Source organism: Homo sapiens, chromosome 4 (assembly GCF_000001405.40).
Source record: "Homo sapiens chromosome 4, GRCh38.p14 Primary Assembly".
Classification (NCBI taxonomy): Eukaryota; Metazoa; Chordata; class Mammalia; order Primates; family Hominidae; genus Homo; species Homo sapiens.
In genome coordinates this window covers 106,788,103-106,815,304 of record NC_000004.12, presented here as the reverse complement: position 1 = coordinate 106,815,304, position 27,202 = coordinate 106,788,103, and the positions used below count along the sequence as shown (strand labels likewise).

The following is a 27,202-nucleotide window of genomic DNA, read 5'->3' as shown; positions in this document are numbered from 1 at the left end:
TTCCTTGCCTCATCAGCCTGTGTTTCAGTCTAGATTTAACACTACTGGCTGATCTGTCGCTTCCTGCCATTCAGTGCTTTGCACCTGCCTCTGCCATGACACTTAGATCCTTCCCTTTTGTATGCTACTAGTTGTATATATCACTTTTATAAGATTATAAACCTCAATAGGTCAAATCAGTATTTATTTATCCCTGTGTACTTATCTTGACAGGGGTGTGTAGAGTCTCAATCTTAAATTTTAAATTATATGATTACTTATTTAATAAGTATTTATTTGATGCCTATTATATACCAAATATTCTGCTTCAAGCTGAAAGCTAAAAAAAGAAAAATTCTATTAAACTGTTTTTCAGTAGGAAATGGTCTTTTAGTTTAGGCAACAACTTACAGGGTAGAAACAAATATTCAAAGGTTTTGGAATCCCTAGTTGAGGTTTCAAAGAATGCTATTAGTTCTCTTTTGTATCCATTAGGATTAGGCTTAGCTGAATGTAACTACATCATAATAGAGTAGTTTACAGTACCTTCCTCATACACAAGAAAAATAAGTCCAGAAGTAAAAAGGTCAGAGCACGGATGCAAGGGAGGGGTCCAAGAGTGTCAGAGACCCACATCACTTAGATGTTACCCTGCTTCCATGGTGCTCCAGCCGCCACATCTGCTTTCCTTGCTGTCAAGCATCTGTCTTGCAAAACAAAATGTCCATTTAAATCTCACTGGCCAGCATAATCATATGGCCAGACCTACATGTAGAGTAAGTATGAGAAATATAATCTTTTAGCCAAACACATTGCCACGCTGAATAAAATCAGATGCTTTATTAAAAGAGAAAGAATGAATGGATATGTGGGTGTTGTTTTTGTTTGTTTGTTTTTTTGTTTGTTTGTTTTTGAGATGGAGTCTCACTCTGTAGCCCAGGCTGGAGTGCAGTGGCGGGATCTCGGCTTACTGCACGCTCTGCCTCCTGGGTTCAAGCAATTCTTGTGCCTCAGCCTCCCAAGTAGCTGGGACTACAGGCAAGTGCCACCATGCCCAGCCAATATTCAGGTTTTGATAGAAGTACATGTAAAGTTCTTTAACCAAAGTAAGCAAATCTGTAAATCTGAAATGAAATGGGATTGAAAAATGAGTTTTTAGATATAACTGAGCTGAACTTGGAACTGTTTACATTCTATTAAATTGCAGCTTAAATAATCAGTCTGAAAATTAAAAAAAAAACACAAGCAAAAATCATTGTCAGTTAAAATTTGAAGTTTAATTGGCCAGTGGGCCAAATACATAACTCTCTCTTCTTCATCTATTGTCTCCTGTCATCTCCTGACAATTTACTCACCCACATTATTATCCATTTACTTTTATGTCCTAAGGACTATTTTCCCAAGAACTCTCCTACACAGCCCCTTTTCTTGGCATCTATTGCCTCTTATCACCCTTGAAGTGCTTAAATGTATGCCTAAGTAGCTTTCCCAGGCAGAGTTGGGATGAGTAAGATTTATTTGCTGAAAAGCCATGAAATTAATTATTCTCCTCTTTGGGGAAGGACATGAAATAGTCTTCCTAGAAAAATAGCACAGTAAGAGTTATAGGGTTGGTAAAAAGGAACAGAAGAGCAGAGCAAGCAACTGATCGCAAACTCCTACACTGGCAAGTGCTATCTTGAGATAAAAGAACAAAAGACTTCCAAATGGGAAAAATGTAACTGCCATTATAGCCCATTTCATTTTCATTCTGTACTTCCAGAAAAACCAGTGTTGTTTTTCCTAAAAATGTGTCCAGAAAAATATGATAAATATGTATGTACAGTATTGCAATACAAATGATTTGAATGTTATCTAAGAAAAAGTGGGAAATAATAGGCTGCTTTTCGAAAAGCTAAATTCTATGTGATTATAATGAGTGCATTTGGGAGATGATTATCCAAAATAATCCATCCTCTTTGTCTCTTAATGCTAGTGTTTCCACTAAACATGTTCAAAATGAAAAATCAAAATATCTTTTCCTCCTATTGATAATTCTAAACTATATGCAACTAAATTTTCCTCTTAATAGTAGCTCTAATACAAAAAAGTTGAACTAATTTTTAAGACTTTTTACAGAGCACAGAAGATTAAACATGTTTATTTCAACACCTCTTAAAACTGATTTAAATTATAGCAAATAAAAATTTAAAAATATTAAAAATGCATGGTGGATGAGAGGAAATACCAGTAGATGAGAAATGTCACCATATCTTTGGAAGATACAAGGTGAATTGATAAGTGACAACTGACTTTGTAGGTGAAATCCAAATGCCTACAGAGGGAAATATCAACAAGTTCAAGATTGGAGGGATCTGGTATCACAGATAGAAGTAACAGAAGAATAGGAAATGAGCCTATTTAGGAGTAATTAGATCCCAGATACCCTTTCACACTATACTTCTATAACCTTCCTTTACTGCAGCAGAAAATTGAAGATTTACTCCCTGGAGAAATTACATGAGAAAGTCTCTCTGTGCAGAGGTGAATGACAGGCTGGCCAGCCCTAGAAATGGAGAAAGTACCTGGGAATATCCTGTGGACAAGTGGGAGAAAGTTAACACACAACTCACTTCCCTAAAGTTGGTCCTAAGTTTGGGCAGCAGGCCTCATCCCCAGTAGAATTATTTCCAGGAGAGAATGACTAGCTAAAGAGAGAGGACTGTCATTTGCAGAACTGCTCATTAAACAGATGGACTTGGTTTTATTGCCCTATGTGAAGCCAACCAGTTGAGAAAAACCCTTCCACACACATAGTTTCCAATGAGCTTTTTAAGGTCTCCTTCTCAAACATTAAAGGCTAGCCAAGAGCGCCAGGATGATTAAGAAATCCGCCACATAAAAAATGAAAGAAAAACACAATAAAATAGAGGAAAAATTCAAAAGAATACAGAAGGAAAGAGGGATGGGGGGAAATATACATATATATACACAAACGCATATATATATATATATATATGTGTGTGTTTGTATATAGTATTATGCATAATTTTTAAGAATTGTTTCTTTTTCTCTGCACTCTTTGTTTGCATCTTTTCAGATGTCTTCTTCCCTACTTCGCCATGAATATATTAATTATTTTTTAAAGTTTTATTCTCCTTTGTCCAAAAATGGAATTGATAGAGTACCTGATGCATGTGACTACACTGAGAGGGCTTTGGCTGCTCAATAGAAAATTTGAGAAGTATTAGTAGTAGTTACACCGAAAGTTAAGCAAACAAAACAGAAGGTGACTGTTAACTCCAAGAAAAACAAGTTGTAAAGGAAAGGAAACAAAATAATACCACACAGTGTGGCCTAGCTATGAAACTTGCTTACTTAATCACAATGATGTAGACATTGAATATCGATATAATAAGAAATTGTGGTATAATGGAACATTACGAGAAAAGGGTATATGTATGTGTGTACTAAATTTGAATCCACTTTACCAAGCAGAAAGTACATAATAAAAAAATTCAAGGAATAGTATTATAAACATATTATCTAGAAATGTAGAGGCAAATAAAACAAAAAGTTAAACATTTTAAGGTATGGTAAACTTGGGAGAAAGAGGAGTGGGCAAATTGCCGTTTTCTTTCAAGACTTTTGTACTGTTTGGTCTTTTTAAACATATATCTATGTATTAATTTAATATAATAAAGTACTCATTTTAATTTTGCTTCTATTTATCTATTACATGACTTGACTTATCATAGATAATTTTATTTCAGTTGCAAGATCTCCTCCTCGTAAAGTTTCATCCATAAAAATTATTTCCGACCAGAAAATATCAATAATTTCTATTTTTATTAATCACATTTAATATTAAGTACCCCACAGCATCTTTACTAGTTATTGAGCTCACATAAGAGATGAAAAATTGATTTATCATCATTAAATTTGTATTTATTTGATATGTGATTAATAATTAAAGATAAAATTAAACTGCCAGCCACAGTTCTAAGTCCTTTGTATACATTAAGTGCTATGCATATAGTTTACATACATCAATTCGCTTAATATATGAGGCATGCATATCATTTTGGAATAGATTTGGCTGCAAGTGAGAGAAAGCCTAAATAGCAGTGCCTTCAACAAGAGGGCAATTCATTCTCACATATAAGAAACGTGTGGGCCCGGTGTAGTGGTTCATGCCTGTAATCACAGAACTTTGGGAGGCTGAGGCAGTCAGATAGCTTGAGCTCAAGTGTTGAAGACTATCCTGGGCAACAGGGTGACACCCCGTCTCTACAAAAAATACAAAAATTAGCCAGGTGTGGTGGTGCGTGCCTGTAGTCCCAGCTACTTGGGAAGCTGAAAGGGGAGGATGGCTTGAGCCTGGGAGGAGGAGGTTGCAGTGATGAGAAATCACATCGCTGCCCTCCAGCCTGGGTAACAGGGCCAGAACATATTTCAAAAAAAGAAAAAAAAAAAAAAGAAAGAAAAAGGAAATGTCTGGGGTGGGCACAGTGGCTCATGCCTGTAATTCCAGCACTTTGGGAGGCTGAGGCTGGAGTATCACTTGAGGCCAGGAGTTCGAGACCAGCCTGGGGCAACATAGAGAGACCTGATCTCTACAAAAAAAAGAAAAAAAATTAGGCCAGCGTGATGGCATATGCCTGTAGTTCTAGCTACTCTACTCATGAGGCTGTCAGGAGGATCACTTGAGCCCATGAGGTGGAAGTTGCAGTAAGCTATGCTTGCGTCACTGCACTCCAGCCTGGGTGGCAGAGTAAGACTCTGCCTCAAAACAAACAAATAAAAAATAACAAAACAAAACAAAAAAACTAAAAAGACACATAATTACCATTATTAAATCAGCTGATTCTGTCATTTGAAACTGGACACTGTCTCTAAAAAAGAGAAGGAAGAAGAAGGAAGAAGAAGGAGGGGGAGGAGGAGGAGGAAGAAGAGGAGGAGGGAAAGGGAGAGGGGGAGGAGGAAGAGGAGGGGCAGGAAGAAGAAGAAGAAAGAGAAAAGAAGGAGGAGGAGGAAGAAGGGAAGGAAGAGGAGGAAGAAGGGAAGAAGGAGGAGGAGAAGGAGAGAAGAAAGAAGAAAGAAGGAGAAGAAGAGGAGGAAGAGAGTGAGGAGGAGGAGGAGGAGGAAGGGGAGGAAATGTGTCTGAAGATAACAGGGCAAGGGGCTGGTGAAAGGTTCTGCTTCAAAAAGCCTTCAAGAACCCAAGGTCCTCCCAGCTCTTCGCTCTGTCATGCCCAGAGTATGACCCTTATTTTTATGGTTTAAGATGAACACAGACAACCTATGGGCTACAGAATAGAAAAATGGATGAAGAAGAGAAGCAAAAGGTGAACTTCATCTTTTACTTGAGGAAGGCTAACCAAAACTGTCATAGGCCGGTCTAGTTCAGTTTCCTTTGGCTATGTTCAAACTACTCTTGGTAACTTTTTACAAAGAAATAGAACACTTTAGTTCTAAATGTTTCCAATATTTTAAATAATAGTGTACTGTTACTTAAATATATATATTTAATATACAATATATATTTAATGTATTATTATACATGTTAGTGCTCTGATATTTTATTTATTTCTATATTTCTAACTATCAGTAAGGGTTTTTATGGTTTTTAAAAATATTTTCAAAGGTCATTGAGCAATTGTAATCTCCCTTATTAATTATTAAGACAATCTTGCATGTTCCTACTTACATGGCTATTATGATATGTGAGTACTGATAATCAGAAATTGTGGTATACTGGAATATATATGTATATATGATTTGATATATCATGTGCAATGTGAAGATTGTCTTTACAAGAGTAAATAGGCAATGGCAAATGGCTTGTATAATTGTCTAAGGGTTCTGAAAAGAAAAAGGAGAAAAACTGAATAATGAGAAATGAAGATGTTCAGGACAGAGGCATGTAGTTATGGGAAAAAGAACAAAGTGTGATGATTTTGGTTTTGCAGTTTAATGCGCATTACAGATTATCCCCTACAGAAGTGAATGAAACCATCAAGTTAACAGAATGACTTGACCAGTAGATGTCAGCCAGACTCTATCCTTAGCCACCCTACTGCTCCTACAATGAGATCACGACCTGAGAGTAACCATACTGGCAGAGATGGATGAGTTTTATAGGCCAAAAAGCATGAGCTTTTAGGCCTATTGCATTTAGCTGGACTATTCAATGTCCAATATCTCATCAAGGCATTTAGTCATCCAACTATTTAATGTTCAACCTGCCAGCAAAATAATCCAGTGTTGATCTTCTACTATGGTAACATTCTCTGAGGAAATCGAAGCCACTTATTATTAGCTGTAGATGTTTTATAGATGACCTATATCCACAGAAAGTCCCTTTATTCTTAGTTTTTATAATGAATGGGTGTTAAATTTTGTCCAATGCTTTTTCTTCGTCTATTGTGATTGTATGTGTTTTCTTAGTCTGTGAATATGGTAAAATATATTGATTGGTTTTCAATTGTTAAACCATCCTTGCATCCCAGGAATAAACATCACTTGGTAATGATGCAACTTGTTAATATGTTTAAAATATTTGTGCCACCTATATTTGTGAAGAATATAGGTTTGTGGTTTTCTTTTCTTATGTTGTCTTTGGTTTTGGTGTCAGGATTATGTCAGTCACATTAAATAAGTTGAGAAGTGTTCTCTTTATCCTGCGAATAAGTTTTGTGGTATTTTTTTCTTTAAATGTTTACAAGAATTCAGCAATAATGTCATCTGGGCCTGGAATTTTCTTTGTGGGAAGGATTTCAGTTACAAACTTCTATAGTAGAGACGTATCGAGATTTTTTTTTTCCCTGGGGTCAATTTTGTTAGTCTTTCAAGAAATGTGTCCATTTTATCTAGGTGATCAATTCATTGACATAAAATTTTTTATAACATTATTTTATTACCCTCTTAATGTAGGATCTTAGTGCTGCCCCCTCTTTCCTTTCTAATATTGACAATTTATATCTTTTTTCCTTTTTCTTCATCAGTCTAGCTACAGGGTTAACAATTTTCTTGATAGTCTATCTGTAATATTCATCCATTTTCTGTGTAAGTTATTTCTGATTCTATATTCATTATTTTCTTTTTTCTGCTCACATTGATTTTAATTCTTTTTTAGCTTCTTAAATTGGAAGTTTTGGTAACTAATCATCTTTAATATATGCGGTTAGTTATAAATTTTCCTCTAAGTATTGATTTAACCATATTTCACACATTTTGCTAGACTTGATATATTGTGTTTCATTTTCAGCCAGTTCAAAATATTTTATACTTTCCATAGATTTTTTTTCTCTAATCCATGGTTTATGGAGCAAAATCTGGCTTAATTTTCTAATACATGGTGATTCTTAGATATCTTTCTGTTATTAATTTCTCACAATTCCCTTGTGGTCAGGGAACATGTTCTGTATGATTCAACTCTTTTCAATTTATTAAAACTTGTTAATGGCATAGCTTGGAGCACATTTGATCAATGTTCTACATGTACTTGAGAAAAAGAGTGATGCGCTGTTGTTGAGTGAAGTTTCTATTAATATCAGTTAGATCAGATTGGTAGATAATTTTTTTAAGACTTTTTATTCTTACTTTCTGCTTTAGTCATTCTACAAATTATTGGGAGAGAAATATGAACATAATTGCAGATTTTTTTGTTTCTCCTTCCTGGTGTATCATTTATGCTTCATGCACTGTGAAATTGCTGTTATATGCATAGACACTTAGCATCGTCATGTTCTTGTTTTCTCAATCCACTTGTTAGGAAATATTTCTATCTCTGGTACTATTTCTTTTTATGAAATATGATAGTAATATGGTCCTTTGGTTTTCTTATAATTGTTTCCATGGGATATATTTTTCATCTTTTTAATATATCTTTTAGATTTAAAATGTATCTTCTATAGACAGTGTGTGTTTACGTGTGTGTGTCTGTGTGTGTATGTGTGTGTATATGTGTAAATAGCTGGGCCTTGCTTTTTTATCCAGTTTGACCATCTGGCTTTTTATTGGTGTTTGCCATTTATATTTAATTTAATTACCAATAGAATCGAATTTACATCTGCTATCTAATGCAAAATCACTAAATAAAATAGCTAAAGATTAAGCTATAACAATAAAAATCTGATTGCATCTATCCTAAAAATGTAACATTTAACTAGGAGAATACCTGTAAATGATTTTAAAATCATTTCAATGAGCTGCTTAAGAAAAAAAAGAGCTAAAAAGTTTATAATTTATTTTGAAAAATTACATATGTTTGAAATTTAAAATAACAATAAAATTTATCTCTTTTAAACATACTATTAACCCCACAATTACTGGAAAAAGTATAAAACTATATCCATATAAATTTTAAAAGCATCAACTTTTATGGTTTATAGCTTCTTTATAGTTTCATCATATGAGAAAACAAGAACATGACAATGCTAAGTGTCTACGCATATAACATATTGTAGTTTCATCTGTATCCTTAGACACTATGGTATGTCATTTTGCATAGTTAAAATGTATATGAATGAAATTATACTGCAACAAGATTTTTCATGAATTACACTAATGATATTCATTCATGTTGATTTATGTAGTTATAGAGTATTTATTTTCCTATCTGTATTAATATGACAAAACATATATATCCTTTTTACTGTGTATAGACATTTTGGCTGTTAGTCATTTTTCTATTATAAGTAAATGACTAACTACTACTCATACAAATCCAGGAGATGCTTATCATATAGAATACAATGTGAAGAGTATCTCACTGAAGTTGAATGGTACATGGATTCTTACTAGCAATACTAACAGAAAATTTTTTTTTATATGTATCTCTTGCTGAGTTTGTGCAAAAGTTTTTTCTGGGATATATCTAGAAGTAGAGCTGCTACAATAAACAGTATATGAATTTTCAAGGATACTTTGACATCACTTCACTGTTTGCCAAAGTGGTTACACAAATTTACACTCCCATTAATAGTACTTGAGTTTCCATTACTCTACAATTGGAATGTGTAAAATGGTGAAGTGGTATTAAATTGTGGTTTTAGTTTGCATTTCCTAACTATGAATGAGGTTGTTCATCTTTTACTGTTTATTGCCCATTTGTGTTTCTTCTATTTTTTTGTCCAAGCCTTTGGCTCATTTTGTATTGGCTTGTTTATCTTTTTCCTATTTATGTTTTTATATATTATAGGTTCTATTTATTTATTATATGTGTTGGAAATTACATCTACCTATATGTGGCCCATATTTTCATTATATGGTATCTTTTCATGAACAGATAGTTTAATTTTAATGTATTTTTAAACGTTAATCATCAGCTAGTCTTCTAGAGGTTCTTCTTCTGTGACTTAAGAAACCCATCTGTACCCCAGGGTCCTAAAGAATGTCTTCCTATATTTCTTCTAAAAGTTTAATAGTTGTGCTTCATTAAGTCTTTGATGAATGTGGAATTTATTTTTGTATATGGTGTGAGCTAAGGATCTAATTTTATTATCTCCCATATTACAACCAATTTTTCCATCACTAGCCGTGTCACAAAGGAAGTATTCATATGTGTGTGTGTTTCTTCCTGCTATTGCTGTGTCACCCCATGGTAGAAAGCAAAAGGGCAAGACAGCAAGAGAGAGCAAGAGAATGAGAGAGGACCAAACCCATCCTTTTCTCAGGAAATCCACTTCCAGGATAATAAATGCATTCCCTTGATAGCGGCATTAATCCATCCATGAGAGCAGAGACCTCACAATCTAATCACTTCCTAAAGGTTCCACCTCTCAATTTTGTTGCACTGGGGATTAAGTTTCCAACGCATATACTTAGGGGTGTAGCAGGACGAGTCACAGACAAGAACCCCTCCGACACTGAGTTGTAGAAGGAAGGGCTTTATTCAGCTAGGAGCATTGGCGGACTCAAGTCTCCAAAAACCAAGCTCCCTGAGTGAGCAATTCCTGTCCCTTTTAAGGGCTTACAACTCTAAGGGGTTCCACGTGAGAGAGTTGTGATCGATTGAGCAAGCAGGGGGTATGTGACCATGACCAGGGGCTGCATGTACCAGTAATCAGAATGGAACAGAACAGGAGAGGGATTTTCGTGATGCTTTTCCATACAATGTCTGAAATCTATAGATAACACAAGCAGATAGGTCAGGGGTTGATTTTTAACTACCAGGCCCAGTGCGCAGTGCTGGGCTATCTGCCTGTGGATTTCATTTCTGCCTTTTAGTTTTTACTTGTTTTTTTCTTTGGAGGCAGAAATTGGGCATAAGACAATATGAGGGGTGGTCTCCTCCCTTAGGGGGACACATCCAAACCATAGGAAGTCACTTCCATTTATGTATGTATGTTCTATTCTGTTCCATATGTCATTTTTTTCTATCCCTAGCCCAAAATAAATTATAAGAATATGTTATTGCTAATAAATATGATTTGGAGAATGTGGTATAGGTGTGTAGCAACAAAGGGCTTTTTACAACATAGCAATAAAGGGCTTTTTACAACATAGCAATAAAGGGCTTTTTAGAACTGTATCCCAGAATTGAACTTATCTTTTCTGTCACAGTTCTAAACAAGCACAGGTCTTTCTATATTGGATTGGGGTCTGCCCTTGTAAAACTTATCACGCCAAGTTGCAGAGGAGAATGTCTGGCTCATGTTAGCAGCTTGCTCTCAAAAAGAGGTAAAAGGCAGGAGAATTCCAAATTTCTCTTTTCAAACTTGCTAACTGGAATTCACTTACTTCCATAGGAAGAGTAAATAAGGAGGGTAGAAAGGAATAACGTTGTTATTATAATAGAACTTCTTCCAAATGGCAATTCAGCCTCAGGGAAAGAAATTTCCCACATTTTTTCAGGGTTCCCAGTTCTAATTGCTATATCTGGTTAAATTTCTTCCCCATTAATGAATGAAAAAGCACAGGTGGGAAATTTGAATGAAGAACACATGACTTTAAGATCACAATAGGATACCTTTGCCAAGGCAGTTAATATATTCAGTAACTCCCTGTTACCTGGACTTACTTAGTCTTTTACCATCATGTTCCAGAGTTAGGTTGAGGATTTGGCCTCTGAAGAAATACAATCTTCATTAAACACTCAAAAATAAACTCAAGTTTTAAGGATGCAAAATATATTATTAACATATTGTTAAAGAAAACCAGAGCTGGACAGTAGTTAAAGTGGTAAAAACAAATTGTATTTAGGAACTATTAGGATAGGATAAAAGACCTAGGTAAAGAACTGGGCTCAACTCTAAGCAAAACATGGACAAGTGAGGATTTATAACTGAGGAACAGGGCGACGGTCAGTGGATGGAAAATTACTGAGAGGAAACATCAGGGGTGGTAGTGGTAGGGATTCTAGTTATCTGGACCTAATGAGATTTTTGCTGAAGTCAAGCCAGGGTGATCAGATATTGCCTGGGGGATGGTGGAAATTGAGGACTTTGATCTGATTCCTAGGGTGATCAGATAAGGGCATGAAGGGGATTCTTCCTAAACTGATGTAACTGGATTCTTGCTATAATTGGATGATGCAGGACTGATAAGGATAATGCCAAGGTTGAGGTCTAGTGGGCTTAGAGGAGCCTGACTAGAGTTTTGTTAATATTTTATGCATCGACGTATCCCTCCATCAATTACAACTAAGACGTTGAAAAAACTTCATCTTAACCAAGTCAATACTGTGAAAAACTTCATCTTAATTATTAACAATACTGGAAAAACTAATATAATGTGGCCCCTAATAAGATGTACTGAGAAGGATATAACATTATTTCAGTGCCATTCCTGCCAGAATACCCACGAGCAAAATCTAATCATGAGAAAACAAGAAAATAACACATATTTTTATTTTATAAAATAACAGGCCTGTACTTTCAAAGAATTCAAGGTCAAGAGAAAAAAAAAGGCTGAGGGGCTGTTCCAAGTTAAAAAGACTAAAGAGACATGAAAACAAAATATAATGCAAGATCCTGGATTGGGTACTGGACTGGGGAATAAATAGCTATAAAAATGTCACTGAAACAATTCATCAAATTGGAATGTGGACAGTGGATTGGATTGTATACTGTATCACTGTATTACATTTCCTGATTTTGATGACTATACTGAAGTTATTTAAAGGAATTCCCTTGTTTGGGGGACATATACGCTGGAGAATTTAATGTAAAACAGCACTATGTCTCCAACTTCCAAATGTTTTGGAATAAATAGAAATGTGTGTGCATACATGAGGAAAGAGGGAAGAGGGAGGGGAGGGGAGAGGAAGGGAAGGGAACGGAAAGGAGAAGAAAGGAGAGGAACAGATGGTGTAAACATATAACCAATTGGTAAATGTGGACAAAGGTCATATTTGAGTTACTTGTAATTTTTTATTAGGACAAAAGGATAACAAAGTAATTTAACAAAAGGTACCATGAAAACTTCTTAAAGAGTTATAGGGCTGTAGTTGGTAGGATGTGACAAATGTCATTAAGAACAGCTATGTTTCTGTTTCTGTGAACTTAACTGTTCATGAATTAAAAGGTTCTGAATGGCAGACTCAATTTACAATAAAAATTAACACTCAATTTATAATAAAAACAAAAGCAATCATTCTTTATTAAGGCTCTATTTTGTGCCCAGCACTATACTAAGAATTTTATACACATTGTGTTTAATTTAAACAACAGTCCTATAACATTGAACTATAACAGTGCTCATCATACAGATGAAGATACTGAAATGATGAGAGGTTAAGCAATCTGCATAAAGCCATACAGCTAGTGGTGGAGATGTCAGGATTTGATCTCGAGACTATATCACCCTAAAATACATCCTGTTAAACACTACATTATACTCATTTCCAAATATAGTATACATGTTTGGAAGATCAGTCCATTAATTACTTGAAGTTGGTGCACTGAGGTTATGGGTTTTGTTTTCCAACAGCAAGACACAGTACTTTTTTCTCTTTAGCAGAGGATCTGCTCAAGCTTTTCTAAAACACTGTGGTCTTTGGCTCACACCATCTTAATAAAACCCAGGTGTACTTAGCCAGATTATATGACACATGTTCAGGTTCATGTTTGATTTCAAATTAAGCATCTAGATGATTTATGGTAAAGAGTTTACCTCCTTCTTTCCCGTGGGGATTCTAATTCTAATCTTCAGCCTGCTCTTCCAACACTTCCAGCACTTAAGAGTTTTCCCACTTAAACCCTTCGTTATTTCTATAATCACAAGAGACTTTTACCTAGCCTAGCACCTGTTATTATTTCCTTAATTTTTTTTCTTTTAGAAAAGGGAATGTGACTACACCATATTTTACCAAATTCCTAGGGAAAAGCATTGCTTTTTTGTTTCCCTAAATGTATTTGATTACACCAGTATGTAACTATAATAACAGAAATCATTTAAGCAGTATAAAATTTTAAGTCATTTCCATTTTAAATGTTGAAATATGTAACTATAGGAAATTTATTCTCTACACTTCTCACATTTTGAAGTAAGGTATAAAGGCAAAGACAGTTACATTTTGGGGACAGATAACTTGAATTCTAGTATGATTGATGAATCAGATTACAAAAAAATCTAAACATACTGTAGTTTTCATCACCATGATGAACTGAAAACCAAACCTACATGAAAGTTCAAAAACACTTCATAACTGATTTTATTCATTCTATTATTTCTACAGTTCTTGATTAGTCTAACGCCAGAGTCACTATTTCCACAATTGTGTAAGACAAGCTTTTGGGCTGACTAAAATTAGGAAGCTGAGAAAAGTCTCTGGCCAAAGGCTGTTTTCCATTGACTTTATTTTACTGCAGTTTTTTGTACTTGAAAAACCAACAAAGAGAAAATCCTCTTTCATGAGATTTCCAGATTTTTTCCGATAAAAAATTCAGTAAAATACGTAAACATGGGCATTGTTACTAAACTCTGAGTTGTTGAGTGTCATTTTTATTCACTATATATGGTCTAACAATTTCAGAGAAAGTGCCAGCCAGCAGGTAAAATTGTTTCCAATGCATAATGTAAATGGGAACACGGTTTTACTAGAATATTTGCCAATATGTTATATTATTGAGAGGCCTGAGTCTATCTGCCTTAAGCTAACTTTCTTTCCCTAATAAGAGGGATTCAAAGATGAGCAGGCCAGCCATTAACTCACTTATGCCATTTTTTTTTTTTTTTTGGTGAAAAGTCACAAAAAGTTTGCAAATTTTTTTTTGTGAAAAGTCAGGCCTTGGTGATGACCTTGAGCAGTAGGATACATATAACTCCTACAAGCTTAGCGTTCCAATAATGGAACACTAGGCATAAATAGGTTAATAAGCTTTGGATTAGTCACTGGTGTTTTTTGCTTGTGCCACAGCTAAATTTTGCTGTAATTGGGGACCTACACAAGACCTTAAAGATAAGCAAATCCATAATTTTGAGTTTATGTTTGAAAAACTGAGGCTCAGATATATTGACCTGTACATAAGAAACTGGGTGTCAAATTAGAACATAGAATGCTTATTTCCTGATTTAGGACATGTTTTGTGTTTTTTATTTGTTTATGGACCCACAAAAGCAATTGCTTTTGAAATTTTAACTAATTTTCTCCCTGTGGAAATGTGAGATGCCTACAGGAACTGCCAGGATCACATCCTCCATGCCTCTACTCAACAAGAATAACCCCGAAGCAGGCAAAATGGACAAGTACCATATCAACAATGAAATACCCACTGATTATGCACTGACGGTTTTAATTGTTGATGATCATGTTTGTATTCCACATCAGAAGCTTGATCCCTTTCATAGATAATTAGGACCAGGAGAACAATCTGAGCAATGAACCAATTCACACATGTACCATCAGTAGAGCCTCCACATTTACCCCCCTCTTGATGTCCTCCATGTAGGGATGTTAGTCACTAGTACAAGAGAGGTAACCTGGGTGCTCAATTACATGATTTATGAATTACACTGATCTGAGCAGAGACAGCAGGTGAAGCAACTTGGGTGTAGTTCCAAGATATATATTCTAGTGAATAGACTTGCATCAGCCTTTTTTTTCTGCTCACAAACCTGTCCCTCACTTCTCCACACATCTTCCCACAACACTAACTGCATTGTTAATTACCTTAAGTGCTTTATATTACTTACTCCGTTATATGCCCACTTGAGTTTTATCAAAATACAATAAGGTAGGTATTATGTTTTCCATTTTACAATGGAAAAAAACTGAGTCATTAAGTGGTTAATTTCTTATAGTCTTCTTTCTTGTTCATTGTGAAATAACAGTTCAAAGTCCTAGTGTCTAATCATTATCATCAGGCCTTATATCTTCAAATGTGATTTTTAAAGTTTCAGGAATGGAAATACAGTAATCACTTTAGGATTAAACATACTTATGGTTAGGATAATCTCTAATTAAAGTATTGACTTTGAAGTGTAATGCTCATGGTATTTTAAGATTTGGAAACAAAAATATGAAAGAAATAAGCTACAATGTTCCATAAAAAGATTAAACTAGTTGTTACCTTCTAATTTAATTAAAGAGTACATTGGCACTACAAAATAACTAGATCAGGTAGTAATTCATCAAGAATTTCTATACGGCTAATAATACCAAAAAAGCTGTATAGATTTTTTTTTCCAACTTGTTTTCATTTATCCTAAACCAGACTGTACATTAGTATTGGGAAATCTTTAGAACTCTAGTAGGTTATTTGTTTGCCCTAATAACTAAAATTCACTTAATTAAGGGAAAGTACGTATATGTGTTGGGAAGGGAGTGAAAGTAATATGCATTTTATGTGTACTAAGAAAACCAAAGAAGTGCTTCTTACATAACTACAACCACACTATGTATTTACGATATGGGGAGGAACGAGATAGCAAGAAGGAGGGAAAGAGAAATAGGGTGAGGGAGGGGGAGACAGAAGTGGGAAAGTGTTATTATGTACATGTACATCTTAGATCAAAATTACTTTAATATGATAGCAGGGTTCTTTTCCTATCAAAGCAACAGAACACTTTATTTTAAAACAAAGAATCAGTACTTTCTCTTTGTCATAAGAATACCATTCTATTAACTGCCACACTGTCCTGCTCTTGTTCACATTCATGCTTTTGTTTTTGATGTAACACAAATGGGATTGCATAGTTGAGAGCTGCTAAATTCACTGCTTTTCTTTAAGTCTTCTTTTGGCTGAAGTAAGTTATTTAGTCAGTGATGGCTACCATAATTTTATTGTTTGAGATCTGTAGCCACCTTTATTACTCTTTAAAAGGAGAAGCTCTGTGCAAATGACAAATACCCAATTTAAGAAAATACCGACAACTTTTACCTGTTCATCGAGAAAGTTTACATATACCAATATTCTATCTACAAGTACTTACACATCATCTAGATAGCTTGCAAAATCTTGTTTTAATGAAACACATTTGGAATATGATTTTAATGGAACACATTTACACCTTTATGTCATGGTTTGTGAAATAAAATACAGGTTTGCTGCACTATGTGTGGCTCATCAATAACCTGCAGGCAACCTTGGCTGTTATCAATCACCTACATGCCTATCTCTCTCATCAACGCTTTCATTTCCTTTGGCTTATTGCAAACCACTTCACATTTCCCAAGATGAAAAGTAAGGGGAAAAAGCTTCCTTACTTTAAGTTTAGAATTGAATCTTTTAATAATAATGTTTTATATGAACATAGTACTTGTCTCCCAAATATAATCTATACATACAGTAAATAGATCTTCTCCCTGCACTAGCATTATTTTTAAGGCAATATAAAAATGTTGAAAAGGATGGTGTATGTTGGAAAGATCTTGCACAGAAGAGCATAATCTGAGGAAATTGTCATGGGATATTCAAAAACCCAGGAAAATACATTAGCTTCTACTTGAAGAAATCCTTGAATGATTCAGAAATTGCTACATAAAAATAAAGCTCTTCTGTCTTTAAAATTAAAGAATGTTTGTTTCACAAATTGTAATAAACAAGTATATCCTCCTCACTTGTTATTACCTTAATAACAAGTATAATATATAATAACAAGTGTATGTCTTAATAACAAGTATAATCTATAATACATTAAAAACGTATTATAGAACAAGTGAATTATAGGTGAAAGAATTGATATAAGTAATCTTTATATTTTTTGCACGCTGAGACTAAATAGACACAGTACTTAAGTTCCCCTTCCTCTAAAGTCACATCATAATATTTGAGTGAAATGTATGAATGTAGACCAGATCCAAATTTTGTGAAATGAGTATATTTGAATTGATGTTATTCTGCCAGGACATCTTTTCAGCTACTCAACACACCTATGAACTCCAGTAAATAGTAATTAATTGTGACAGGTCACTCTAACTTTGTGATCTGTGTAAAATACCTGTCAAAGGTTTAACAGAAACACACTGTTTAGTGATAAGACCTTGTAACTCAAACACCAGATGCTTTATTCTACACTTTTTATGGCATTTTAGTATGTAGAGCTATGCCAGAGAGAATCCAAAGCATATACAAAAATTACTACTGCTTTTTAAAAGGTAAACATTTCTTTAAGCCTTAAAAATGTTTCAGGAAAACAATTGAAGATAAAATGCATCAACCCGCTTTAGGGAAGAAAAAAAATTTAGACAGATATGCCCACTTTGACTAATCAGAATGTCATATTCTAATATTAATATAAAAAGTGGATATACTTAAAGTTTATGTTGAATTTGAAATATTTTGTTTCATCATTTACTACCGATCATTTCTTCAATCTGGATGGCAATAATTTTAGATTGTAAACTTTAATTCTAGTTACTTCTTTTTCACTCTGTATATGATCTCCTCATATAATTTCCTAAATTTAAAAAGTTATGTTAAATTTCTATAATGAAGACTATCAAAATGATTAACGTGAAACCAATAATTTCTGAGCCTATTGCACTTTTATATTCTTTCTCTTTCATGCAGATGGTTAATGATGATCTATTAGCATATTCCATTTGTATTCTAGTTTTTTAATTATCCCTTGATGGCTTGAAAAATAATTTAATGCCTTCTGTGAAGTAAAAAAAAAAATGAAAAAACCCCTTAACACATTTGAATGCCTGCTGTTGAACATGCTAAATGAGCTAAATAATGGGAAACACATTTACAATATACTTTAATGGTGAGCCTATCCAATTTGTGATTTAAGAGGTCAAACTATTGGTTATTTTTGCATTCTTGGTAATTTAAAGAGAAGCAGACTGGGAAATATGCACTCATAGGCCTTATAAAACTGCTGCAGTGATTTTGACTAATAGACATTTATTGCCAATGTTCTGCTGTTAGAAAAACAGCCTTGTAAGGTTGTAAACTAGTAGGAGAGCTCACAGAACCTTGAAGTGTCCACAGCCACAATTGTGTAAACAAAGCCAAGCCAGAAATGAAGGAATCTTCTGTGTTTGTGAATTTATACAATGTGGATAACCCATTAACAATCCAAGGCTGCTTCGTGTGTATGTGTCCACACATATGTGTATATGTTTAACCTTGGTCACCTAAGTCAACAGATAAGATTTAACCAGTAATTTTCTATCTCCTGAACTCTTCCCTTATTTCACATTGTTCTCCGTTGATTAATAGAGCTCCCCTTTCCCCCACTTGTATCCTGTGATCCAGTATGGGAAAAGCTTGTGATTAATAAATGCAAAAACTACAATTAATTTTGCTATGCTAAATGAATCTTCAAATAGAGCCAATAGGAGAAATTTCTGTTTTGGTGACATTCCCAGAGAAAATTACATACCAGAAATTATAACCGATGATAAATAGTTCTTAGGTACAAACACATCCCTGTTTGCCCAAAGGCTTTCACTTGAAGAGTGAGAAAGAGACGAGAAACAGAACATTAACTTTCCAACAATTGGGTAAAATTTGTCATTTCTGTTCACATATTCCCATTCCTAGTCTTTATGGGGAAAAATATGATTTGTTAGGACAATATGAACATTCTCAACTCATGCAAATGTTGTAATAGTTTTCATTTCATTCTTTATTAACATTTTAATGTTTAACATATTACACTCTATTTATGAATAGTAAAAGCATTATTTTTCAACATCTTTTATATAATGTACTCAATAAAATCATTTTAATCCCTGCCTAAATCTCAGACACAGATGAAACTATGAAGAATGATACAGAAAACTTTGATAAAGAAAATTATTTGAATTTTTCTCTCCAAGAGTTTAATAGTTTATTTTAACAAAGAAAATTTTCTATGCAATTGAAAAACAATGTTGTTAATATAACAATCTTTGTTCATAATATATTGGAGAATATAAGGAGTGAAATGCTTAAAAAAGAAATAGGATGAGAAAGAATAGGGATAAAAGACTTTATAGATTGTTGAAATAAATACAGATTATCTAAAAATCTACAAAGACAGTTAAATCTGGCATAGTATATTTTCAAGTCCATGGACACTACTACTTAAAAGCACTTATTACATACCAAGCTTTATCAGTATTCATGTGATTACATTTACAACAATCCTATGAGTAGGTATTAAAATTATCCCCAGTTGTTGATGTGGAAACTGAAGCACTGAGAGGTCAAGTAACATATCTAAGGTTATTAAAGGTCAGGGGGTCAGTGGGTAGACACCAGCTGCTCTCCACTGGATCTCCAGACCACTCCCTACCTCCAAACACTGCATCTTAAGATGTACTTTTATCAAAATCCCTGAGACCAAATATTATGAATATATATTTAAATAGGTTTTGAGGGTTTGAAGTTTTCAGGGCTAAGATACGTTATTAAGAAATTTAAAGTATGTCCTGTCAGCACATTTTAACCAAGTTGATTGTGACTAAACATTCCTTAGCTGCACTTCTACTCAATTTCAAAAGAATATTTGTTTCCACTAAATTTTAACTTTCTCTACTTCATTTTGTCAATGCTGTATTTTAATTGAAGAAAATGTTTCTGAAAAGTTATATCTTTGGGTACATACCCAAAGTTGTTACCAATTATTTCCTTTCTTTTGCTCTTAAGGGAGTCTATTAATAAGATAAAATCCAGTGTAGTCAATCCAATGGCCTGGGATCTATATTAACTAGTAAATTGTTTGGCAACAACAGTCTTGCATTAACAACTGAGAGAACTGTATTATTAATGAAAATTGAAATGAGAAAATACCTATAAATTCATGCACAAAATATGTTTTAAATATTATGACATTCAATATTGTAATGCCATATAAATGTTTCAACATTGCCTTGTGAAGATAATTTCATTTCATATTTTCATATAACATTTCTGAAAAAATGATAGGATTCTGAATTACTAAAGTAATGGTCAATGATAATGCAGCTGCACTACTTGGTTGATTGGCCTAAGGATAAGAGGCCAAACAGCCTCTTCCTAAATAATTTTTAGCACCCTATACACACCTCTCATATGTATAAAACTTTAAGGATTTATTTAGAGAAGTGTAATATTTGTATCCTGTCAATAAATAATGACAAAGATTATGGAGGCTAAAGCAATTCCATCTTGGATGCTAATCTGCCATGCTGATTTCCAGTTAACCCCAGTTGCAGGAATATCTCTAAGATTTCTATATTATCTATTGTTCTTTGTGTAAGAGTATATGTACTTACCATAAATCTCTCCCTTAGGTCAAAAAAAGCTTGATGCTATCCTACTTCAATTGGCCTCTGCGTACCTTCTGAATCACATATATACTTTTCCTATAATATAAAAGCCCTAGATTTGCACAGGTAATAGAAGAAGGATCCATCATCTTGTTTCACCGGCCCCTAAGAAACAGACGTGGCTTCTATTCATAAGTCCCTATTAAATGTTTCTTTCTAAGAAACTGGATATGTCGGCCTCCTTCTTTGGTATCTCAGCTTCCTCACACTTTGGGGTAGGTCTGTATAGACCTGCCCACCACAGAACAAGGATTAAACAATAATATCAGTGTAAGTTAGGGTTGTTAGCTGCAAGCAATAGAAACCTACTATATGAGGGGAAAAGGAATTTACTGTAAGGAAATTAGGTAGATCCTAGATCTATATGAAGACCAGAAAATCAGGCTAAGCAAACAAGATGAATTCAAATGAGGCTTTGCAGCAAAAATAATCTAGTCAAAAACACTAAGGTATCCTTACTCTTTGGAAACCTAACCACTGACCACAGACCTAACAGCCACAAATCAAATCTCAACTTTCAGTAGTCTTTCTAGTGCTTATTCAAGTTTCAAACTCTTTAGGAAGAGAGTACCATTGCTGAAGCTATCATTGTGGACTGGCTGCTTCCTTGGTAGGACATAATGATTTCACTTCTGCTGTTTGGGGAGGGGGTGTGTGGAGAGGGGAGGGGTAGGAATATGCCTCCCACCTCTTATACATTGGGGAATTCCACAATATAAGAATGGTTGGCCCAAGGCTGGGAAACTACTGATTATAAAAAAACAAAAGTCTATAAAACAGTTTTCATAGAAACTATAGCAGATATTTTTTCTGCTCCATTTCATCTTTCCCACATGAAATGTTTATCATCATAATTGCAGGGCGAAGATCAGTGTTCTGTATGAAGGCACTGAAGCTCCATCTCCATTCTCCAAATTCCCAAGAAGGGAAACATTTAATAAGGGTTGTAAATGAGACAGATCATCAATGACATATAAAATCAACTACATAAAAAGTAGGTCTGTTTTCTCTATAATTGTAATATTACTATTTTCCTACCAAAATAGGAAATTAAAAACAAAAAAATGCTATAATTATGGCATAGTTCATCTGGTGATTGATTATATTTTAATTTGCCTCCTCTAGAAGACTGGGTCCTGCCGTTTCACCTCTCCCACTAAGTATCCTGTGGTTTTCAATAATACTAGGGGAATTCAAAACTCCACTGAAAGCATCACACATTACTGAGGTAGAAAACTAACAAAGAAATTCGGGACTAAACTTTGACACTAGACAAATTGGACCTGATAGACATCTACAGAAAACTCCACCCATCAACCACAGAATATACATTCTTCTCATCTGCACACAAAACATACTTCAAGATCAACCACATTCCTGGCTAAAATGTTCAGCTAATACCAATCATACTCTCAGATCACTGTGGAATAAAAATAGAAATCAATACCAAGATCTCCCCAAATCACACAATTAAACAACTTATTCCTGACTGAGTTTTGGGTAAGGAATGAAATTAAGGCAAAAATCAAAAGATTCTTGAAATTAAAGAAAGCAGAGATACAACATACCAAAATCTCTGAGATGTAGTGAAAATGTGCTAAGAGAAAAGTTTATAGTGCTAAATGCTTACCTCAAAAAGTGAGAAATGTCTCAAATTAGCAACCTTATATCACACTTAGACAAACTAGAAAATCAAGAACAAACTAACCCCAAAGCTAGCAGAATAAAATAAATAAATAATGTTGAAAGAAATTGAGACCCAAAGTCCATGCAAAGAGAAATGAAACCAGAAGTTACTTCTTTGTAAGGATAAATAAAATAGATAATTCACTAGCTAGATTAACAAAGAAAAAACAGAGAAGATCCAAATAAGCACAACCAGAAAGAAAAAGTAACATTACAACCATTCCCACAGAAATACAGACAATCCTCAGAGGCTATTATGAACATTTCTATGCACACAAACTGGAAATCTAAAGGAAATGAATACGTTTCTGGAAACTCAAAGCCTCCAAAGATTGAATCAGGAAGAAATTGGAACCCTGAATAGACCAATATCAAGCTCCAAAATGGAATCAGTAATAAAAAAAACTACCAAACAAAAAGATCCCTGGACCAGATGGATTCACAACCAAATTCTACTAGATATACAAAGAAGAGCTGGTCCCAATTCTATTAAAACCATTTCAAAAAATTGAGCAGAGACTTCTCCCTAACTCATTCTATGAAGCCAGCTAATTACCCTGATACCAAAACCTGGCAGAGACACAAAAAAAGAAAATTTCAGGCTGATATCTCTAATTAACATAGACATAAAAATTCTCAGCAAAATTCTAGCAAATTGAATCCAGCAACACACCATAAAGTTAATTCACTATGATTAAGTAGGCTTTATTCCTTGGATACAAATTTGGCTCAACATATGTGAATCAATAAATGTGATTCACCACATAAACACAATTTAAAACTATATGGTCATATCAATAGATGAGAAAAGCTTTCAATAAAATCCAACATTCCTTCATGAAAAAAACCCTCAACAAGCTAAGCATCAAGGGAACATAACTCAAAATAATACGAATAATCTATGCTATTACAAATCTATATCCAACATCATACTGAATGAGTAAAAGCTGGAAGCATTCTCATTGAGAACTGGAACAAGACAAGGATGCCCACTCTCATGACTCGTATGCAACATGTACTGGAAGTCTTTGCCATGGCAATCAGGCAAGGGAAAAAATAAAAGGCATCCAAATAGGAAGAGAAGAAGAAAACTCTTTTTGCAGATGATATGATTGTATACCTACAAACGCCTACAGAGTCCAGCAAAAGGCTTTTAGAACCAATAAATGATTTTAGTAAAGTTTCAGGATACAAAATAAATATACAAAAATTAGCAGCATTTCTATACAATAGCATTCAATCTGAGGACCAAATCAAAAACACAAACCCATTTATAATATGAACAAACAAAATCAAATATCTAGAAATAAATCTAACAAAGAAGGTAAAAGTGCTCTACAGGGAGAACTACAAAACACTTCTAAAAGAAATAATACATGACATAAATAAATGGAAAAACATTCCATGCTCAAGGATTAGAAAATCAATATCACTAACATGGCTATATTGCCCCCCAAAATTTATAGATTCAATGCTATGTCTATCAAACCACCAACATCATTTTTAACAGAATTACTGTTCTAAAATTTATATGAAACCAAAAAAGAGCCTGAAAAACCAAAGCATTCATAAGCAAAAAGAGCAAAGCCAGAGGCATCACATTACCTGACTGTATACTATAAGGCTGCAGTAAACAAAACCAGTACCAAAACATGGTACTAGTACAAAAGCAGACACAAAGACAAAAGGAACAGAGTAGAGAACTGAGAAATAATACCACATACATACAAACACCTGATTTTGACAAAGTCAACAAAAATAAGCAAGGGGGACATGATTCCCTATTCAATAAATGGTGCTAGGACAACTGGCTAGCCATATACAGTAGAATGAAACTGGAACTCTTTCTCTCACCATTCACAAAAATTAACTCAGGATGGATTAAAGATTTAAATGTAAGACCCCGAACTATAAAAATCCTGGAAGAAAACTTAGGCAATACCTTTCTGGATATAGGCAAATAATTTATGACGAAGTCTTCGAAAGCTACTGCAGCAAAAACAAAATTTGACTAGTGGGACCTAATTAAACTAAAGAGCTTCTGCACTGCAAAAGAAACTGTCAGCAAAGTAAACATACAACCTCCAGAATGAAAGAAAATGTTTGCCAGATCTATAAGGAACTTAAACAAATCAAAAAGCAAGGAAAAAAAAAAAACACCACACACACATATAAAAAGTGGGCAATTGACATGAACAGATACTTCTCAAAAGAATACATACAAGTGACCAACAAAAGTGAAAAAATGCTCAATATCACTAATTATTAGAGAAAAATTATTAGAGAAATGCAAATAAGAACCATAATGAGATACCATCTCACACTAGTCAGAATGGTTATTATTAAAGTAAAAAAATAACAGATGCCAGTGAGACTGCATAGAAAAATGTATGCTTATACACTGCTGATGGGAATATAAATTAGTTCAGCCACTTTGGAGAGGAGTTTGAAAATTTCTCAAAGAAAAAGAACTGAAAACAGAACCCTAACCCTAACTCTAACCCTGCCCAGTACCATAATCTGGGCAGCTTATAAATAACATAAATTTATTTTTCACAATTATGGAGGCTAAGAAGTGCATAATCAAGGCACCAGAAGATATGGTGTCCTGTTCCTTGTAGACAGTACCTTCTCATTGCGTCTCCACATAGTCGAAGGGGCAAACAAGCTGCCTTGGAACCTCTTTTTTAAGGTCATTATTTCCATAATGAGGACCCTTTTCTTATGACCTAGTCACCAACCAAAGGTTGCACTGCTGTTATTACACTGGCACTAGGTTTTGACACACAAATTTTGGGGGCACAAATCTTCAGACCACATTATGTGTCAATCAATAGGCAGAGATCAGCAGAATGAATTTTTTGAAAAATATCCAAATGTATACCTCTAGGAGAAACAAGTTGATAAGTAAGATAAAAATAAATTGAAAGTAAGTTGATGTGAAGAAGACAACATATAAACTATAATCACCTGGAAAGCTAGAAGAGCTATACAAATAGAAATAAAAAGACTTTGAGAATAAAATTATTAATAAAAATAAAAATGGATATTTTATGCTGATAAAAGTGCCAATCCATGAAGAATACATAATTATAAACATATGTGTACTTACAGAGCCCAAAAATACATGAAGAGAAATCTGACAAAATTGAAGGAGAAATAGATGATTCCACAAAAATAATTGAAGATTTTAATAGCCCAGTTTTAATAATAGATCAAAGAACCAGACTGAAGAACAATAAGATGAAATATCGGAACAACACTAAAAATCAAATAGAGCTAACAGACAACTATAGGACAGTCCATCCCCAATTGGGAAAATACACATTCTCCTCAAGTCAACCTGAAACATTCTGCAGGATAAACTATGTTTGGTCATAAATATGTTGCAAAAACTTAAAAAGCTTAATGTTATTTGAATGTTTCAAAGACAATGCAATAAAATTTAAAATCAACACAACTGACACAGTAAGATGGCAAAATAGGAGTTTCTGGCCCTCATCCCCCAATCAAAACACCTATTTAAAATCATCCATGGATGAAAATACCTTTATGAGAGCTCCAGAATACAGGTGAGAAGGTACAGCATCCTGTTAGAGCACAGAAAGGAGAAAAATGCATTGAAAATAATATTAATAATAATAAAACAAAAACAGTTTCACTTTACCTGCTTCACTCATTTCCCAAATCTGACATGTCAGGACACAGAGAGCACCTCAGCCTGCAAGTTGTCCTATGGAGAAAAAGAGAATGAAGTGAGCATCTGACCTCCCTAGTCTTTTGGGGCACACCTGACTAGCTTGCCTATATCACACAACACACAGAACATTGAGGGAATCAATATGGCTTGATAACCTGGGGACAGCTAAAGACAAAAAGGGATAGTAGTCTTGATAATCAATTTGGGGACCTTGACAGCCATCTTGTGACCCGTGATAACAGTCCCTTCCCCACCTCCCTGGGACCCTAACAACATGCCTGCTGATGCACAGACCTTAGAACTGAGCATACCCACCCACAGAGGCCAGCTGTGAATCCAGAGCTGTCTGTTGACCACTTCAATAGGCACCCAGACTATTTGGTCACACTGACTACACTGACTAGTGAAGGACTTTAGCCAGTCTGTATAGACCAGAAGAGCTAAATTCTTCCTTAAATTAACAGATACTAATGCAGGCTACAGGCATTATAAAGAATCAGGAAAACATGACATCACCAAATAAATAAAAAATAAAAATAAAACTCTAATATATCAACCCTACAGAAAATGAGACCTGTGCAATGCCTGACAATGAATTCAAAATAATTGTGTTGAAGGAGCTCATTATGCTACTAAGAAACAGAGATAGATAGCTAAATAAATCAGGAAAGCAATAAATCAACAAAATTAGAAGCTCAAAAAAAAGCCTACCCAGAATCAAACCATAGAGGTTAAAAAAAAAAAAAAAAAAAAGAAAAACAAGAAAAGAGAAAAAAACAATTAAAAGAACCAAATAGAAATTCCGGTGCTGAAAATACAATAACTGACCTAAAAAATTAAATAAAGAACTTCAACAGAAGTTCAATCAATCAGAGGAAAGAATCAGTGAACTTGAAGATAGATTGTATAGAATTATCTAGTCAAAGTTGCAAAATTAATGAAAAAGAGTCAAGAAAGCCTGTGGGATGTATGGGATATAATCAATAACACCAATATATGCACTATGGCAATGCAGAAGGAGCATACAAAGAGAAAGGAGCAAAAAGCTTATGTAAAGAAATTTTGGCTGAAAACTTCTCAAATATTGGGATGTAAATGGACATTTAGATTCTTGAAGTTTAAATAAATTTTAGATTAAGCCTAAAGAGGTCTACATGGAGACACGT

At 34.2% G+C, this 27,202-nt stretch overlaps 1 long non-coding RNA gene across 1 annotated transcript in view; it reads right to left on the bottom strand.

The window, feature by feature from the left end:
* Window positions 1-1,021: 1,021 nt before the first annotated feature.
* LOC105377356 (uncharacterized) overlaps window positions 1,022-27,202 on the bottom strand; it is a 288,441-nt gene continuing 262,260 nt past the window's right edge. The window contains exons 5-6 of the long non-coding RNA XR_939051.1: window positions 26,004-26,069; window positions 1,022-1,103 (exon numbers count right to left, since the gene is read on the bottom strand). This is a non-coding gene — a long non-coding RNA (uncharacterized LOC105377356). The remainder of the gene's footprint in view (window positions 1,104-26,003; window positions 26,070-27,202) is intronic.